Source organism: Homo sapiens, chromosome 3 (genome assembly GCF_000001405.40).
Source record: "Homo sapiens chromosome 3, GRCh38.p14 Primary Assembly".
Classification (NCBI taxonomy): domain Eukaryota; kingdom Metazoa; phylum Chordata; class Mammalia; order Primates; family Hominidae; genus Homo; species Homo sapiens.
The window spans coordinates 37048155-37062882 of record NC_000003.12 but is presented as its reverse complement, the minus strand read 5'-3'; the positions used below and the strand labels follow the sequence as shown (position 1 = coordinate 37062882).

The window sequence follows — 14728 nt, the reverse complement described above, 5'->3', positions numbered from 1 at the left end:
GTCTCATGCCTTTCTCCTTATTTATTCTCTTATTTTGGTACATCTTCCAGTAGCTTCCTGAGAAGAGGGTTTGTGGATTGTTAATTTTTCATGACCTTGCAGGCCTGAAGATGTCTTCATTCTACCCTCTCACTTGATTAAAATAGTTTGGCTGGGTAGAGAATCCTGAGTTGCCATGGTTCTCCTTAAGATTTTTTAAAAGGACATTTCTTCATTGTGCTGTGACTTCGAGCATGGCTGTTGAGTTTTCATGAACATTTTGAGTTCTGATCTTTTCTGATTTGTGATCTATTTTTCTCCTCTTTGTGGAAGCTTGTATCCTATTCTCTTTCTCTCTAGCATTCTGGTGTAATTTGAAGATAGTCATGTGATTTGAAGTTTTCATGTGTGATGCTGGGCCCCTGTCAATTCTAGGAGCTCCCATCCTTTAGTTCTGGGAAAATTTCTTGAATGATTTTGTTACTGATTTTTTTCCCCTCCCATATGCTGTGTTCTCTATTTTGGAACTCCTATTCAGTCATTCAACAAATGTTGAGTGAGATTCTACTATTTAACATGCACTATTCTAGGCACTGGGATATTTCAGTGAATAAATTAGTTTAGAAAAAAAAAATTCCTGCCTGAGAGGCATTCTAGTAGGAAGACATCAGACAATATTATATGATATGTTAGAAGGTTTGTGTGAATGCATTTATTATATGTGTTTCTCTGGCTACTTACAGCAGCATAGGGGCAGGCATGGAGTGGGTAGAGAGCTAGATTTTACTAGGACAGTATTAATGGGGCAGGAGAGGTGAGGGAGTATGTAAGAAAATGATTATAATGATGGACCTTGAAATTAAACTGGATGAAGAGGATTCGGGAGATATTCAGGAACACATCAAGGTATAGTAGAAAGAAGATGTAATCTGTAGATTAGTGGTACCAGTGTGGTTGAAGGGTTGTTGGAATTCGGGTCTAGAGAGAATGACCTGGAAAGATGAGGAATAGTGGTTAGAGAGAGGATACATGGAACTAAATTGTGTAGGGATTACAATTGTCTAATGATGAGATCTGGTATATGACTGTGGGAGTGAGTAGCTGAGGGCAAGAAGGGATAGATAGCAAGATCCTTGGAAGGGAGGTGGGTTAGTCCATTTTTTGCTTCGCTATAAAGGAATACCTGAGGCTGGGTAATTTATAAAGAAAAGATGTTTGACTGGGCACAGCAGCTCATGCCTGTAATCCCAGCACTTTTGGAGGCTGAGGCAGGTGGTTGAGGTCAGGAGTTGAGACCAGCCTGGCCAACATGGTGAAACCCCAACTCTACTAAAAATATACAAAAATTAGCCGGGCATGGTGGTGGGTGCCTGTAGTCCCAGCTACTTGGGAAGCTGAGGCAGGAGGGAGGTGGAGGCTGCAGTGAGCCAAGATTGCGCCACTGCACTCCAGCCTTGGGTGGCAGAGTGAGACTTTGTCTCAAAAAAAAAAAAAAGGAAAAAAGAAAAAGAAAAAGAAAAGAGGTTTAAACTGGCTCATGGTTCTGCAAGCTGTAGAGGAAGTATGTTGTCAGCATCTGCTCAGCTTCTGAGCTCAGTTTCCTGAGGCCTCAGGCCAGGCTGGTCTTGAACTCCTGACCTTAGGTGATCCACCCACCTCGTCCTCCCAAAGTGCTGGGATTACAGGCATGAGCCACCGCGCCCAGCCAGCCTCAGGAAACTTCTCATCACGGCGGAAGGTGAAGGGGCAGCAGGCACGTCATATCTCGAGCGGAAGCCAGAGAGAGTGGGGAGGTAACATACACTCTTAAACAACCAGATCTTGTGTGAACTACCAGAGCGAGAACTCACTCATCACCAAGGGAATGGTGCAAAGCTATTCATGAGGGATCTGCCCCATGACCCAGATACCTCCTGCCAGGCCCCACCTTCAGCACTGGGGAATACATTTCAACATGAGATTTGGAGGGGACAGACATCCAAACCGTAAGAGGAGATATACCAGAAATTGAGAGATCATTTGTAAGGGAGATCCTCTACTTAGATGTACATTGAAATTGCCAAAAATTAAGACAGGAATAGTCTAGAGGGAGTGCAAGTTGGGAGCTATTTAATAAATGGTGATGAAGGAATGGGATTTTGGCAATGATAAGTAGTTAGTGTATATAATTTGAAGAGACGAGATTAAGACCTGGGACTTTTAGGGAAGATGGAGGGAAAATACCAGCAAGGAAAGCAAGAGGACACCTATTCCATTTCTAGATTCAGTGGTAGGAAGCTGTGGAAGTACAAAAAAAAAAAGGGCCGGGCATGGTGGCTCATGTCTGTAATCCCAGCACTTGGGGAGGCCAAGGTGGGTGGATGACTTGAGGTCAGGAGTTCAAGACCAGCCTGGCCAACATGACGAAACCCCATCTACTAAAAATACAAAAATTGGACGTGGTGGCATGCACCTGGAATCCCAGCTACTCGGGGGGCTGAGGCAGGAAAATCGCTTGAACCCGGGAGGCGGAGGTTGCAGTGAGCTGAGATCATGCCACTGCACTCCAGTCTGGGCCACAGAGCGAGACCCTGTCTCAAACAAACAAACAAAACAAAACAAAACAAAACAAAAACAGTGTTTGAGAGAGCTGCAGAAGCAGCAGGAGAGGGTTATCAGAGCACGAGGGTAAAGGGGGGATGCTCAGAAAAGACTGAGGACAGAGGGTGTTTGCTGATGATGGACTGATAATTCTAGAGGGCCCAGTGGAAAAGTTTCAGGCATTGGGAAAGGTTAGGAGATGAAGGTTAGTGGTCGTACAGACCCTTGTGAGGAAGACTGCAGAGGAAGGATATGACCCTTTGTGAGATGCACATAAATAGGAATGATGGAGATACTGAGATTTGTCCTGGTTCCCTCAAGGCAGCTAATGATGGTGACCCTGTGTGTTGAAAGGGCAGAGGTGCCTGGGAAGTATAGAGTTAGTCCCAATATAGAGCTTACCCTTTTCCCATTGGGGAGTGGCAAACTTAATCTTAGTGCAGAGGCCTCCCTTTGACCCCTGTTGGTGGAGTTAAGGACAGCTGGGGAAGCCATCTCTATGTATCCAATTATTATTATTATTATTTTTTTTTTTTTTGAGACAGAGTCTCGCTCTGTCACCAGGCTGGAGTGCAGTGATGTGATCTCCACTCACTGCAACCTCCACCTACCAGGTTCAAATGATTCTCCTGCCTCAGCCTCTGGAGTAGTTGGGACTACATGCGCGTGCCACCATGCCCCACTAATTTTTGTAGTTTTAGTAGAGATGGGGTTTCACCATGTTGGCCAGGATGGCCTCGATCTCTTGACCTTGTGATCCGCCCGCCTCAGCTTCCCAAAGTGCTGGGATTACAGGCGTGAGCCACCGTGCCCAGCCCCAATTATTTTTACATACAGGATGTTTTCTAAGTAAGAAAATTTAACCTATGTCTAAAAGTAAACAACAAAAAACTGCTCATGGAATCTTCCATTTTAAGAAATAATCTCTTGAATATACCCTATCAGTTAACTGTTTATATTTTTGTTTTATTTTTTTTAGAGATGAGGTCTCACTGTGTTGCCCAGGTCGGTCTCAAACTCCTGGGCTCATGTGATCCTCATGCCTCAGCCTCCCAAGTAGCCTGATACATAGGTACATGCCACTATGCCTGGCTAGAATTTTCCATTTTAAATAAAAGTAACAAAAAATACCCCAAAGATGTACTGTTCCATAAGCAGACACAAATTTAAAATATGGCTATTTTCTACTGGGACACCTGGTCCTGGGGCTTGCTCTTTTCGATGTTTGTTCGTAGCTTATCTTTAGCACCTAGGACGATGTGTGTCTCCTATTAGGCACTCAAGAAAATAGGTTTTGAATGAATGTGGCTGATACGATAAGGGTCTGCTTTGTTCTATGATGTGACCATAGAATAAGCATCGGCTTCATTTGAGAGATTGGATCTTGCTGATGAACCTTTATTTTCATTTCAGATTAGAAAACTGAAGCTTCAGTTAGAGGAGGAACGACAGAAATGCTCCAGGAATGATGGCACAGTGGGTGACCTGGCAGGACTGCAGAATGGCTCAGACTTGCAGTTCATCGAAATGCAGAGTAGGTACCAGGGGACAGGCCAGTCCCAGTCTGTATATAGACTGTGTCCCAGGGGTGGGTTTGTCAGCAGGTTGCTGGTATCTTGTAATACACTTTTCTTTTTTTTTTTTTTTTGAGATGGGAGTCTCACTCTGTCACCCAGGTCAGAGTGCAGTGGTGCAATCTCCGTTCACTGCAGCCTCTGCCTCCTGGGTTCAAGTAATTCTCCTGCCTCAGCCTCCTGAGTAGCTGGGATTATAGGCGCCTGCCACCATGCCCGGCTAGTTTTTTATGTTTTTAGCAGAGACAGAGTTTCACCATAGTTACCAGGCTGGTCTCGAACTCCTGGCCTCAGGTGATCTGCCCACCTCAGCCTCCCAGAGTGCTGGGATTACAGGCGTGAGCCACCGCGCCTGGCCGTTAATATGCTTTTCTTAAGAAGAGCTATGCTGCAAAAATTGGTTAGTCCTTGGCTAGTCCAGAAAAACAGTCCTAGTCAGCAATATAGCTGAATAGAGGCTCCACTAGCCTGTGTGCTTCAGGGGATAATGAGGTTTATTGCTCTTACCCTTTCTGGATAAAGTGATTTCTAGGAACTTTTTGCACACAGTGAAATGCCTTTTGACAACCTGGCACTGTCCTTTTCCACATCCATTTGTCATCTTTAAGCTCCCATACAGCAAGCACCCTTCCCCATTAAAGTTTTTTCTCTGGAATTTGTCTTGGATAATTGGACGAATCTATTTGGAACTACTTCACACTAAATTGAGTAGTTTCAGAATTTTCCTAGAAGTATTTTGTTAATCCAAGTTTATCTTTATTAGATGAAATTTAAAATAAGTCCACAAAATAAAGTCTATTCTATTCATTTTACCCGAATTATTCCAGTTTTTCTCATTTTTCTACTTCTGACCTCATAATAAAATGATCACTGCAGTCACACTAATTCCCATAGTAGGAAGATTTCAGCAGGAATTTGTAGTTAGCCTTTGTTAGTGATTATGTGTAATTCTCGGACAGAGGAGATTTTCATTTTTCCAATAAGAATAGTGACTTTTCTGATAACTAATATTAAAATCTTGTTTATTCCATGGACTTTTCATCTAAACCTTCTGAGATAGGCTGCCAAGAAAAGACATGTTGGGGCCAGGCGTGGTGGCCCGCACCCATAATCCCAGCATTTGGAGAGGCTGAGGTGGTGGATTGCTTGAGCTCAGAAGTTTGAGACCAGCCTGGGCAATGTGGTGAAAACCCGTCTCTTCAAAAAAAAAAAAAAGAGAAAAGACTTTTTGGGTTAAGGCTTATTAATACTAACTTTTGATATTGGTATTATCTTTTCTGTTGGACATCAGTTAGGACACTTGTGACATTTCCTGGTGAATATTTTGTTCAAGAATGTCATTTTGGTGTTGGCGGTAGATGAGAACAGGGACATGGGAAAAGGCAGGCTGACTAGTTAGGAAGCTACTACAGTGGTGAGCCTGAACCAGTTCAGTAGCTGTCAGCAGTCTTAGAGAGAGGGTAGGGAATAGATCTGAGAGATTGTCCTTAAGCAGCAAATTTAAAAGGAAACAGATTTAGGGGGAATGGGCTGGCATTTATGTGTGAATACTTCCTAGAGTAGGTAGGTTGTTGTATAGCTGGTATTTGCAGAAGGTAAAGTACCCAGGCAGGAGGTGTAGAACAAAGTGAGCTTTGCAGGACTGTGGGAAAGCTGGCAAAGACAAAAGCAAGCAGCTTCCCTGGACCAGAAGGCCAGGAGTGGAGCAACTCTTGGTTCTGGATGGTGCCTTGCCTATTATGAGAGTGTTTTGGAATGGGATTTCAAAACACACATGAAGTTACTGAGATAAGAGACTTAAACTTTTGAAAACAGGAAGGGAAAGGTGGTTTGGAGAGTGAGAAGGAAGAAGTACATTTGGATAATCAATAGATTGCTGAGGATAACAATTTAAAAATCAGATCCTGAAGCTTGTTTTAGGGCTCAGAAATAGGAATACTTCTCTTTCACTACCAGATATGGCTTTTGGGGAGATGGTAACCCTGTTCCTTTTAAGGTGACAGTAATTGTCCAATTAGAAAAACCTCTCACCACTTTAGGAGGCTGAGGTGGGTGGATCACGAGGTCAGGAGATCGAGACCATCCTGGCTAACATGGTGAAACCCCGTCTCTACTAAAAATACAAAAATTTAGCCAGGCATGGTGGCGGGTGCCTGTAGTCCCAGCTACTCAGGAGGCTGAGGCAGGAGAATGGCGTGAACCTGGGTGATGGAGCTTGCAGTGAGCCGAGATCGCGCCACTGCACTCTAGCCTGGGCGACAGAGCGAGACTCCATCTCAAAAAAAAAAAAAGAAAAACCTCTCACATTGAAGACTGTATAAGTAATTGTAACCTTGGTCATGTGGAAATGTAGAAAAGTTCTTAAGTTAGATAATCTGAATATTTCCTGTGGTATGTTAGATTTGGTTTATCTTTTGCAAATCTTATTACTGTAATCATGCCAGAGACTGATTTTTGCTAAACTTGGATTCTTGGAGGGATTTTAAAAGTCCCCTGCCATCATTTCTAAACTTTTCATTTTAAGTGATTTACTTCCTAGGTCAGATGTTCATCTAGTAACTTATAGCTCTACCCATAACACATTATCACATTACTGAACAGCATTTATTCCAACATATATTTATTTAGGCATACACTGTGTGCACTTGGCTAGGTACATAGGTAGATTTAGGAAGGCCAAGACAGGGCCCCTCTTCTTGCTTACACATACGATGTTTAAAAAGCATGACAAATGTCATAAAAATGCAAATAAAATACAGCAAGGGAAGGACTTATAATTAAGGGGAGTCATGAAAGAGGTGAAAATTGAGCTTGGCCTTGAAGCAAGTCAGAGGTGGGAGAAAAGGACCCTTACAGTATTGGACAGCAGAAGCAAAACCTGGGAGATGGGAAGGCATGGGGCCGCGTTCAGGGAACTAGAGGGCCCAGTCCCGTGGGCAGGGAGGCTCCACAAGGTTACACACAGGGTTGGTAGGGGCTGCTGCTGAATTGGCAGGGCTCCTTTCTCAAGCCCTGCTCACACATATCATAGGGTAAAGAATTTTCTTCTAACTCTTGCTGCAAGGGATACTGTAGTAACATATATGCTAGAGCATCTTGTAGTATATACAGTCCAGAACCTGGGCTGCTGAAGATGCTGTGGTTGTTGTGTGTGCATTTGTATTTTGTAATTTTTTTTTGGCAGGGGGACGGAGTATCGCTCTGTTGCCAGGCTGGAGTGCAGTGGCGCGATCTTAGCTCACTGCAACCTCTGCCTCCCGGGTTCAAGTGATTCTCCTGCCTCAGCTTCCCGAGTAGCTGGGACTACAGGCCTGTGCCACCACGCCCAGCTAATTTTTATATTTTTAGTAGAGACAGGGTTTCACCATGTTGGCCAGGATGGTCGCCTCTATCTCTTGACCTCATGATCCACCCACCTCGGCCTCCCAAAATGCTGGGATTACAGGCGTGAGTCACCGCGCCCAGCCCTGTATTTTGTAATCTTAAGACTGCATGGTCCTCTCTGTGCCACAGAGGTACTGCCTGATGGCTCATACTGTCATCTCTGACAGGTGAAGATAATTCATTGTCTTCTTCTGTTCTAGGAGATGCCAATAGACAAATTAGCGAATACAAATTTAAGCTTTCAAAAGCAGAACAGGATATAACTACCTTGGAGCAAAGTGTAAGTACTTCTATATGGTACTAAGTTATTTAAATGTCCTTCCTGCATCTAAGTGGCTAACAACCCATGAGTGCCTGGGTTGCCTTTGCAGTTGGATCAATAATAGTTCTGTATTAAAATAGAAAAGCCAGCAGAGAGCACTTGTTGGGACATTTTAGCCTTCTGTTTTCTCTAAAACCATAGGAAACTATAGCTATCAGTTTTTGTAGATATTTCAGGAGAATTCAAGATCATCATTTGTAATAAAATCCCTTACGCATTCCAAAAAGTGTAAGAACTTTTCCATTTAGTGTCTCTTCCTATATTGCTTTGGCACTTAAACAATATGGTCATAATAAAACTTAGCATGGGAAATTGGCCCTAAAATGACTCTACAGCTGTAATCCTCTCTGGGGACATTACTTGATTTATAAATAGCAACTGAGTTCTGAGAGGACTTATGAGTCACCCTTAGGGGACTTGTTAGTAGATTACTTGGCATTTATAATGACATTGTATTTCCATCCTGGCTACCAAAAAGTGGTGACTTCTAGTGCCCAGTACTAGAGGCCTATGTTCTCATACTTACAGATTAGCCGGCTTGAGGGACAGGTTCTGAGATATAAAACTGCTGCTGAGAATGCTGAGAAAGTTGAAGATGAATTGAAAGCAGAAAAACGGAAGCTACAACGAGAGGTACTTCTTTTAATATGTTTCTTGGAGAATACATTCCTAAAAAGAAAAAATCTTCTGGAAATAATTCTTAGCTGTGTAAGAAATTTGATACTTAAGGAAACAGCAGTGGAGTCACTTAACTAATTTGTGTTGGTTTTTGACCTGCATAGTGACTGCCATTTACTTTTATGTTTTGGTCAATTAGATACTAAGTAAAAAGATAGTTTGTATTTTTGCTTCAGATCAGGTCTATTTCTCCAACTTCTATATATCCTTTCTGTGATTAAAACAAATAAACAATCCTCAGTATCATCATTTAACACCTCTAACTGATAGAAAAAATGAGGTTGTGGGTCCTGTGCAAGGCCATCACAGTTAGCAGTGCTTTCATTTCCCAGGAAGTTGAAAATAGAGTAGCACTGGATGTTGTTTCTGACCACATGTAGTGACTGCATTCTCCCTGTCTCCAGTTACGAACAGCACTGGACAAGATTGAGGAGATGGAGATGACCAACAGCCACCTGGCCAAGCGGCTGGAGAAGATGAAGGCCAATAGGACAGCACTTCTGGCCCAGCAGTAGGAAAACCACCCTTCAACCTGGGTGATGCTCCTTGGGGCCCTACCTAGAGGGACTGACTTTTGTCCATTGACACAAACCCCTTTTAGTACTGTTTTGAGTTTTGTCATTAAAACAGCCACCTTTGTATTTTATAATTTATGACAGAATGAAGTCATTTTGAATCTACATGAATGAACACTTTGGATTTTGTTGTAGTTTGATTCTAGGGTAGAACCAGTCCATGCTGTTTTTATTTTTTATCTCCGTAATTGTAGAATCATGTTTACTCAACGTTTTTCCCCAGCTGCCTCAGTAACTGGGCACTCGGAGGCCTTGGCACGGGTTCTGGAGGACAGACAGCAATTCTATGAGTGCTCACTGAGATACTTGCTGGAGACCTCAGAAAACACAAGTGCCTTCTCCACGGTGCAATTCAGACTTCAGTGATCTCCAGTGGTCAAAAGACATTTACCCTTAATATCAGACAACATTTATATTTTAGTGAAGAAACAAGTTCTCGGGTGGGGAATCTATGTTTCACTCAGATTTATATGTTTGGAGGAAAAAAGCCTTTTTTTGTAAAATATTTAAATTTATATAAGAAAATGTTAGAAAAAAATATGGGGAGTGTATATAAAACTTGCTTTATTGCATGGGGCAGGGGAAGTCCAGGCCTAATACTCCTAAAGTAAGAGTTGGGTCCTTTTTTTCTTCAATACAACTGTGCTGTACCTTGTAAAGTATTTTATCTGCTGCTTATTTGTGGAATGAAACCTCAAACAAACCCAAAGGGGGAGGGTAGGGCAGGGCAGGCAGATTGGAAATCTGCCTGCAGATTCTATTAAATACACCCTTTTGCCAACCACAATTGGCTACTGACATGTTCATTTTGTTATAGGAGACTTTAAAACAAATCATGGCAACCACATCCCTCTTCTTTTGTCTCCTTCTCAAGGAAAAACAATCTGGAATGTAGAACTTTTAAAGACTTGAGTTTCACCTTTAGAGGTACCCTGTCCAAGAGGTTTTTTTAAAATCATGGAGTGCAACTACTTTGCAGAATTTATGATTCTCTTTTGCTCTTAGTACCCAGGTGGTTTTATAGAAATGATTATTGTATCTTTAAAGTGCTTACACAGAAAATATATTGGGGGAAAATCTAGTGACTAAAGGCACATAAGATAATAAAACTAGACTTTAAAAAGGTAACTCAAAAGTGAATAAAATCTCTAATATTTGTTCCTTTTTTAATTAGCCCTTCATTTAAAAAATATGGATACCAATCTTCTGAATTGAGATGATTTTCTATACATTTTCTTTCTTTTTTTTTTGAGACAGAGTTTCGCTCAGTCACCCAGGCTGGAGTGCAGTGGCACGATCTCGGCTCACTGCAACCTCTGCCTCCCAGGTTCAGGTGATTCTTCTGCCTCAGCCTCCCGAGGAGCTGGGACTACAGGTGTGCACCACCACACCCGACTGATTTTTGTATTTTTAGTAGAGATGGGGTTTCACCATGTTGGCCAGGCTGGTCTTGAACTCCTGACTTCAAGTGATCTGCCCACCTCAACCTCCCAAAGTGCTGGGATTAGAGGTGTGGGCCACTGTGCCTGGCCTCTTTTTTTTTTTTGAGAGACAGTCTCGTGCTGTCACCCATGCTGGGGTGCAGTGGTATGATCTTGGCTCACTGCAACCTCTGCCTTCCGGGTTCAAGCTTGATTCTCCTGCCTCAGCCCCCCAAGTAGGTGGGATTACAGGTGTCTGCCACCACACCCTGCTAATTTTTGTATTTTTAGTAGAGTTAGGGTTTCACCATGTTGCCCAGGCTGGTCTTGAACTACTGACCACAAGTGATCTGCCTGCCTCAGCCTCCCAAAGTGTTGGGATTACAGGCATGAGCCACCGTGCCTCAGCCTATACATTTACTAATAGTAGCAAGTTGTGTGGTTGGGGGTGGGTAGAAAGGTGTTCTAAAGTGCAGGTTTGTTCTAGAACTCCATCCCAGCTAAAACCAACACACTGTGTGGCCCAGCTCTTGAAGCTCAGAAAACCCCTCTTCCTCTCCACTCAAGATCACCCAGCCTGTGCCCCACCTGGGCTCATGGAACCTCACTTCTGAGATGCCCTGGTCTACTTTATGGAGTTCTTATTGTTCAAAACTGACCTTGCCTATTTTGTGGCACAACAAATACGTCTGTAACATTTTGTCTTCCTAGTCTTTCCAAGTGAAATTGCTCCATTTCTTCATAAGATGAGAGTAGTCTGTTCTTTATCACTGAACTTTCTTCACTGAGTCTTGGAATATGGATTTTACCTTAAAACCACAGACATTCTTCCTTTCTGAGCTGAATGCTCCATTTCTCTAAATGTAGGCAAATATTAAGGAAGTTTATTTTGTCACTCACAGTTTAAATTTATATTTTTACATCATCCTTCAAACAAGATTACCTAGAAACTTCTTTATCTTAAGCTATTAGTACTCATAGTCATTAACAAAGTGGGCTAACTTAAAAACTCATACTTAATGCCGGCCGCAGTGGCTCATGCCTGTAATCCCAGCACTTAACTTTGGGAGGCTGAGGTGGGAGGATCACCTGAGGTCAGGAGTTTGAGACCAGCTTGGCCAGCATCGTGAAACCACATCTCTACTAAAAATACAAAAATTAGCCGGGCGTGGTGGCAGGTGCCTGTAATCCCAGCTACTCAGGAAGCTGAGGCAGGAGAATTGCTTGAACCCGGTAAGCGGAGGTTGCAGTGAGCCAATATCGCGCCACTGCACTCCGGCCTGGGCAACAAAGCAAGACTCCGTCTCAAAACAAAAAAACAAAAACCTCATTATAGATGAAGTAAGGACTATTTTCTTTCTTCAAGTTTTTTTCCTTAATAATTAGCTTTGGTTATTGTAGACACCAGATGATCAAATCAAGCTTTCTCCATGGTCAGTGCCATCAGAGCCTGTGACATGTTCAAGACCTCTTTTTGGCATCTGAACTGACACAATATATACATAATAAAATTAAATAAGAAATTATGTTAAGACACATCTATTTATTTATAATCAATCCACTGTGTATAAAGGAATACTATCAGAAGGCAAGTATAAGTCTTAAGTGCTACCAACACTTATGTTGGTACACTTTGTATATCACACTTTGATACAACACTTTGTATCGGAATACAGAGAAAGAAGAACACATCCCACAGTGCATAAATAACCATATTTAACACCTCTCAAAGACTTTGTATAGATCAGGCAGGTTAGCAAGCTGCAGGATATTTCCATCTTCTGTGAAATGTTTAGGAGGCAGAATGTGTGAGCGCAAGGCTTTATAGACAATGTGTTCCACAGTCCACTTCCAGGAGTTTGGAATGGAGCCAGGCACTTCACTCTGGAAAACACATTAGATGTCATAAGCCTCCCTGTTTGCATCCCAACATACACTGGTGTCCTGGCTGATGGGATGTGCACTGGGTCTGGAAAGACTTGGTGTTATCTAGGGCTTTTGAAGTGGATCTTGTGGGCTAGCCTCTCAGGGGATCCCACAGGCCTGAACACAAGAGGATTTTTTGTTTGTTTGTTTATTTAGAGACAAGGTCTTGCTCTGTCACCCAGGCTGAAGGGCAGTGGTGTGATCATAGCTCTACAGCCTCAAACTCCTGGGCTTAAGCCATCTTCCCACCTCAGCCTCCTAAAATGCTGGGATTACAGGTGTGAGCCACTGTGTCCAGCCAACATGAGGTTTTAAAGGGAGGAAAAGAAGCCACTGCTCTGTGGGACTGTCTCCTGTGGAACCTTTGTTTTCATTCAGGGAGAAAATGGTTTTATTGTAGCAGGAGCTAACATCATGTCTGATCCTGACTGATATTTGGATGGCAACTGTAGGAAGTACCTAACTTACCATTAAAATCGGGTCTGAAAGTAGTTCTAATCCCCAGGGGAGGAATGAAAATATTAATGAGGATTATTTTGCCTCATTATTCCTCTCCTTCTTGTAAGCCTTAGCTGTCTCATGTGTAAGAAAATGTTCTTTCTCAACTGTCCTTCCTCTTCTTGAGGTAAAATTTCTAATCAAATGAGATAGTTTCCACACAGTTTGGTAAGTGTGTTGCCTTCTCCACTGGAGTGAGAAATTCCCTAGAGGCTTTGGCCAACAGGACTAAATCTCTGCCCTCCCACCTACAGACTTGGAATCCTCGAGCATGCCTGACTGGCCTTCAGCCTCCTCATCTGAAACTCGCTCACACTGCTCAGGAGATGACTGTGAGCAATCAGGGGTCATACTCTGATTAAAGTGGGCTACTCTTTGATTCTTAGAATATTTCAACTCTCCCTTCCAACCTCCCCCAAAATATATGTTGATTTGAAAAGCATTATCATCTGACTGGGAAAAGTGACAATGAAACATTAGGAATCCAGGCACCCTTTTTGTGTCAAGCTGACCTGTAAGAGGAGTTATAGAGCCTTGTTTTCCTGGCAGGGCAGTGGTCGGATAAAGAGTAAGGCAAAAGCTAAGAGAGACTGAGGCAACTGACCCAGAATCTGAAGACTGGCTACACACTTCAGAGCTAACAGTGGGAGTATATGGACTCTCCAGCCTTAGACAATCTAACTCAACCTCCCATTTCTCACTGTGATGGCTTGTGTTTTCACATTTGACAATTTCTGAGGTCACTCTGGAGGTATGTTCTACATCAGCAGATGGAAGTAAAAATCATGAATAAAAGCTGACTGTTGTGTTTGAACCTTGTTGGGTACAAAGAAATCCCGAAATTTTAGAGATGGGCAAGTTTCATCTCCTAAAGATTGTATGAGGTCCTGTCCTAGTCCTGGGGTGCCAGTGTGCATCACCACTGTACCTGCTGGCCTGAGAGGGTCGACTCCTCAGATATGTACTGCTTCCGGATGGAATAGAACATAGCGCATTCTTTACTGAGGCTTTCAAAACATTCCTTTTCTTCGTCCCAATTCACCTGGTCCAAAGAAATTCAATACCTCAAAATAGGTACGAATTTAAACATTCTCATTCTAAACGGAGATCACAGACTACTTAAAGCTAAAAAACGAAATGTGATACTTTAGGCGTTAAAACTGTAAATGGGACTGCTGAATATTGCTGGGAATGAATATTAGTGGGGATGAGAGCAGGCCTTCAGCTATCCCACCCTTATCATCTTTATCATTCCAGATCAAAGGGTGGTCATTTGCCCTTTCCCTCCAGCACACATGCATGTACCGAAATGCTTAGTATCTGCTTGATCACTGACCTCAGTGGCTAGTCGAAGAATGAAGATAGGCAGTCCCTCCAAAGGGGGCACATAGTTGTCAATCAGAAGGGGTAATCCAATCAGGTTCCCTTCCTGCTTGCAGGAAAAAGGACAAGGGAACAAGAAATAATGCTGTCATAGTTTAAACAAATCCCATTTCTCCAGTGCTTTCCCAGGCCTTGTGCTCCTATCTGCCACTCTGGGTGACCACGTTACTTGATTGGGCTGGGCACTGGGGGCAGACCTAAACACTTAAAAAAGAGTTTTTCATCCTGACAAACAGCACGGCAGAACAACCTTTTCTTTGGATCTGTTCACGATCCAAAGAACACATCAAGATGGAGAGCCCCAAAAATGAAAGAATAAGAAGAAATGGGAGCAAATGGCATAATCTCATTTATAATGGCCTGCAGGGATTCGGCTCTCCATGTCTGGGTCCTTCACCCTGGGAACAA

The 14728-nt window shown here is 42.9% G+C and overlaps 2 protein-coding genes across 83 annotated transcripts in view; one reads left to right on the top strand and one right to left on the bottom strand.

The window, feature by feature from the left end:
* The window catches only part of LRRFIP2 (LRR binding FLII interacting protein 2), a 123735-nt gene extending 113478 nt beyond the window's left edge, over positions 1-10257 (top strand). For all 55 annotated transcript variants that reach the window (NM_017724.2, NM_001348308.1, NM_001348304.1 and 52 more), the window contains 4 exons: positions 3973-4093; positions 7718-7797; positions 8368-8472; positions 8922-10257. In NM_017724.2, the coding sequence (NP_060194.1) occupies positions 3973-4093; positions 7718-7797; positions 8368-8472; positions 8922-9032 (417 nt within the window). In that variant the 3' untranslated portion in view covers positions 9033-10257. The remainder of the gene's footprint in view (positions 1-3972; positions 4094-7717; positions 7798-8367; positions 8473-8921) is intronic.
* The window catches only part of MLH1 (mutL homolog 1), a 57381-nt gene continuing 54689 nt past the window's right edge, over positions 12037-14728 (bottom strand). For 26 of the 28 annotated variants that reach the window (XM_047448155.1, NM_001354619.2, NM_001258274.3 and 23 more), the window contains 3 exons: positions 14274-14366; positions 13866-13979; positions 12037-12397 (listed from right to left, as the gene is read on the bottom strand). In XM_047448155.1, coding sequence (XP_047304111.1) covers positions 12230-12397; positions 13866-13979; positions 14274-14366 — 375 coding nt within the window. In that variant the 3' untranslated portion in view covers positions 12037-12229. The remainder of the gene's footprint in view (positions 12398-13865; positions 13980-14273; positions 14367-14728) is intronic. The other 2 variants (NM_001354628.2, NM_001258271.2) reach the window with 2 other exon arrangements.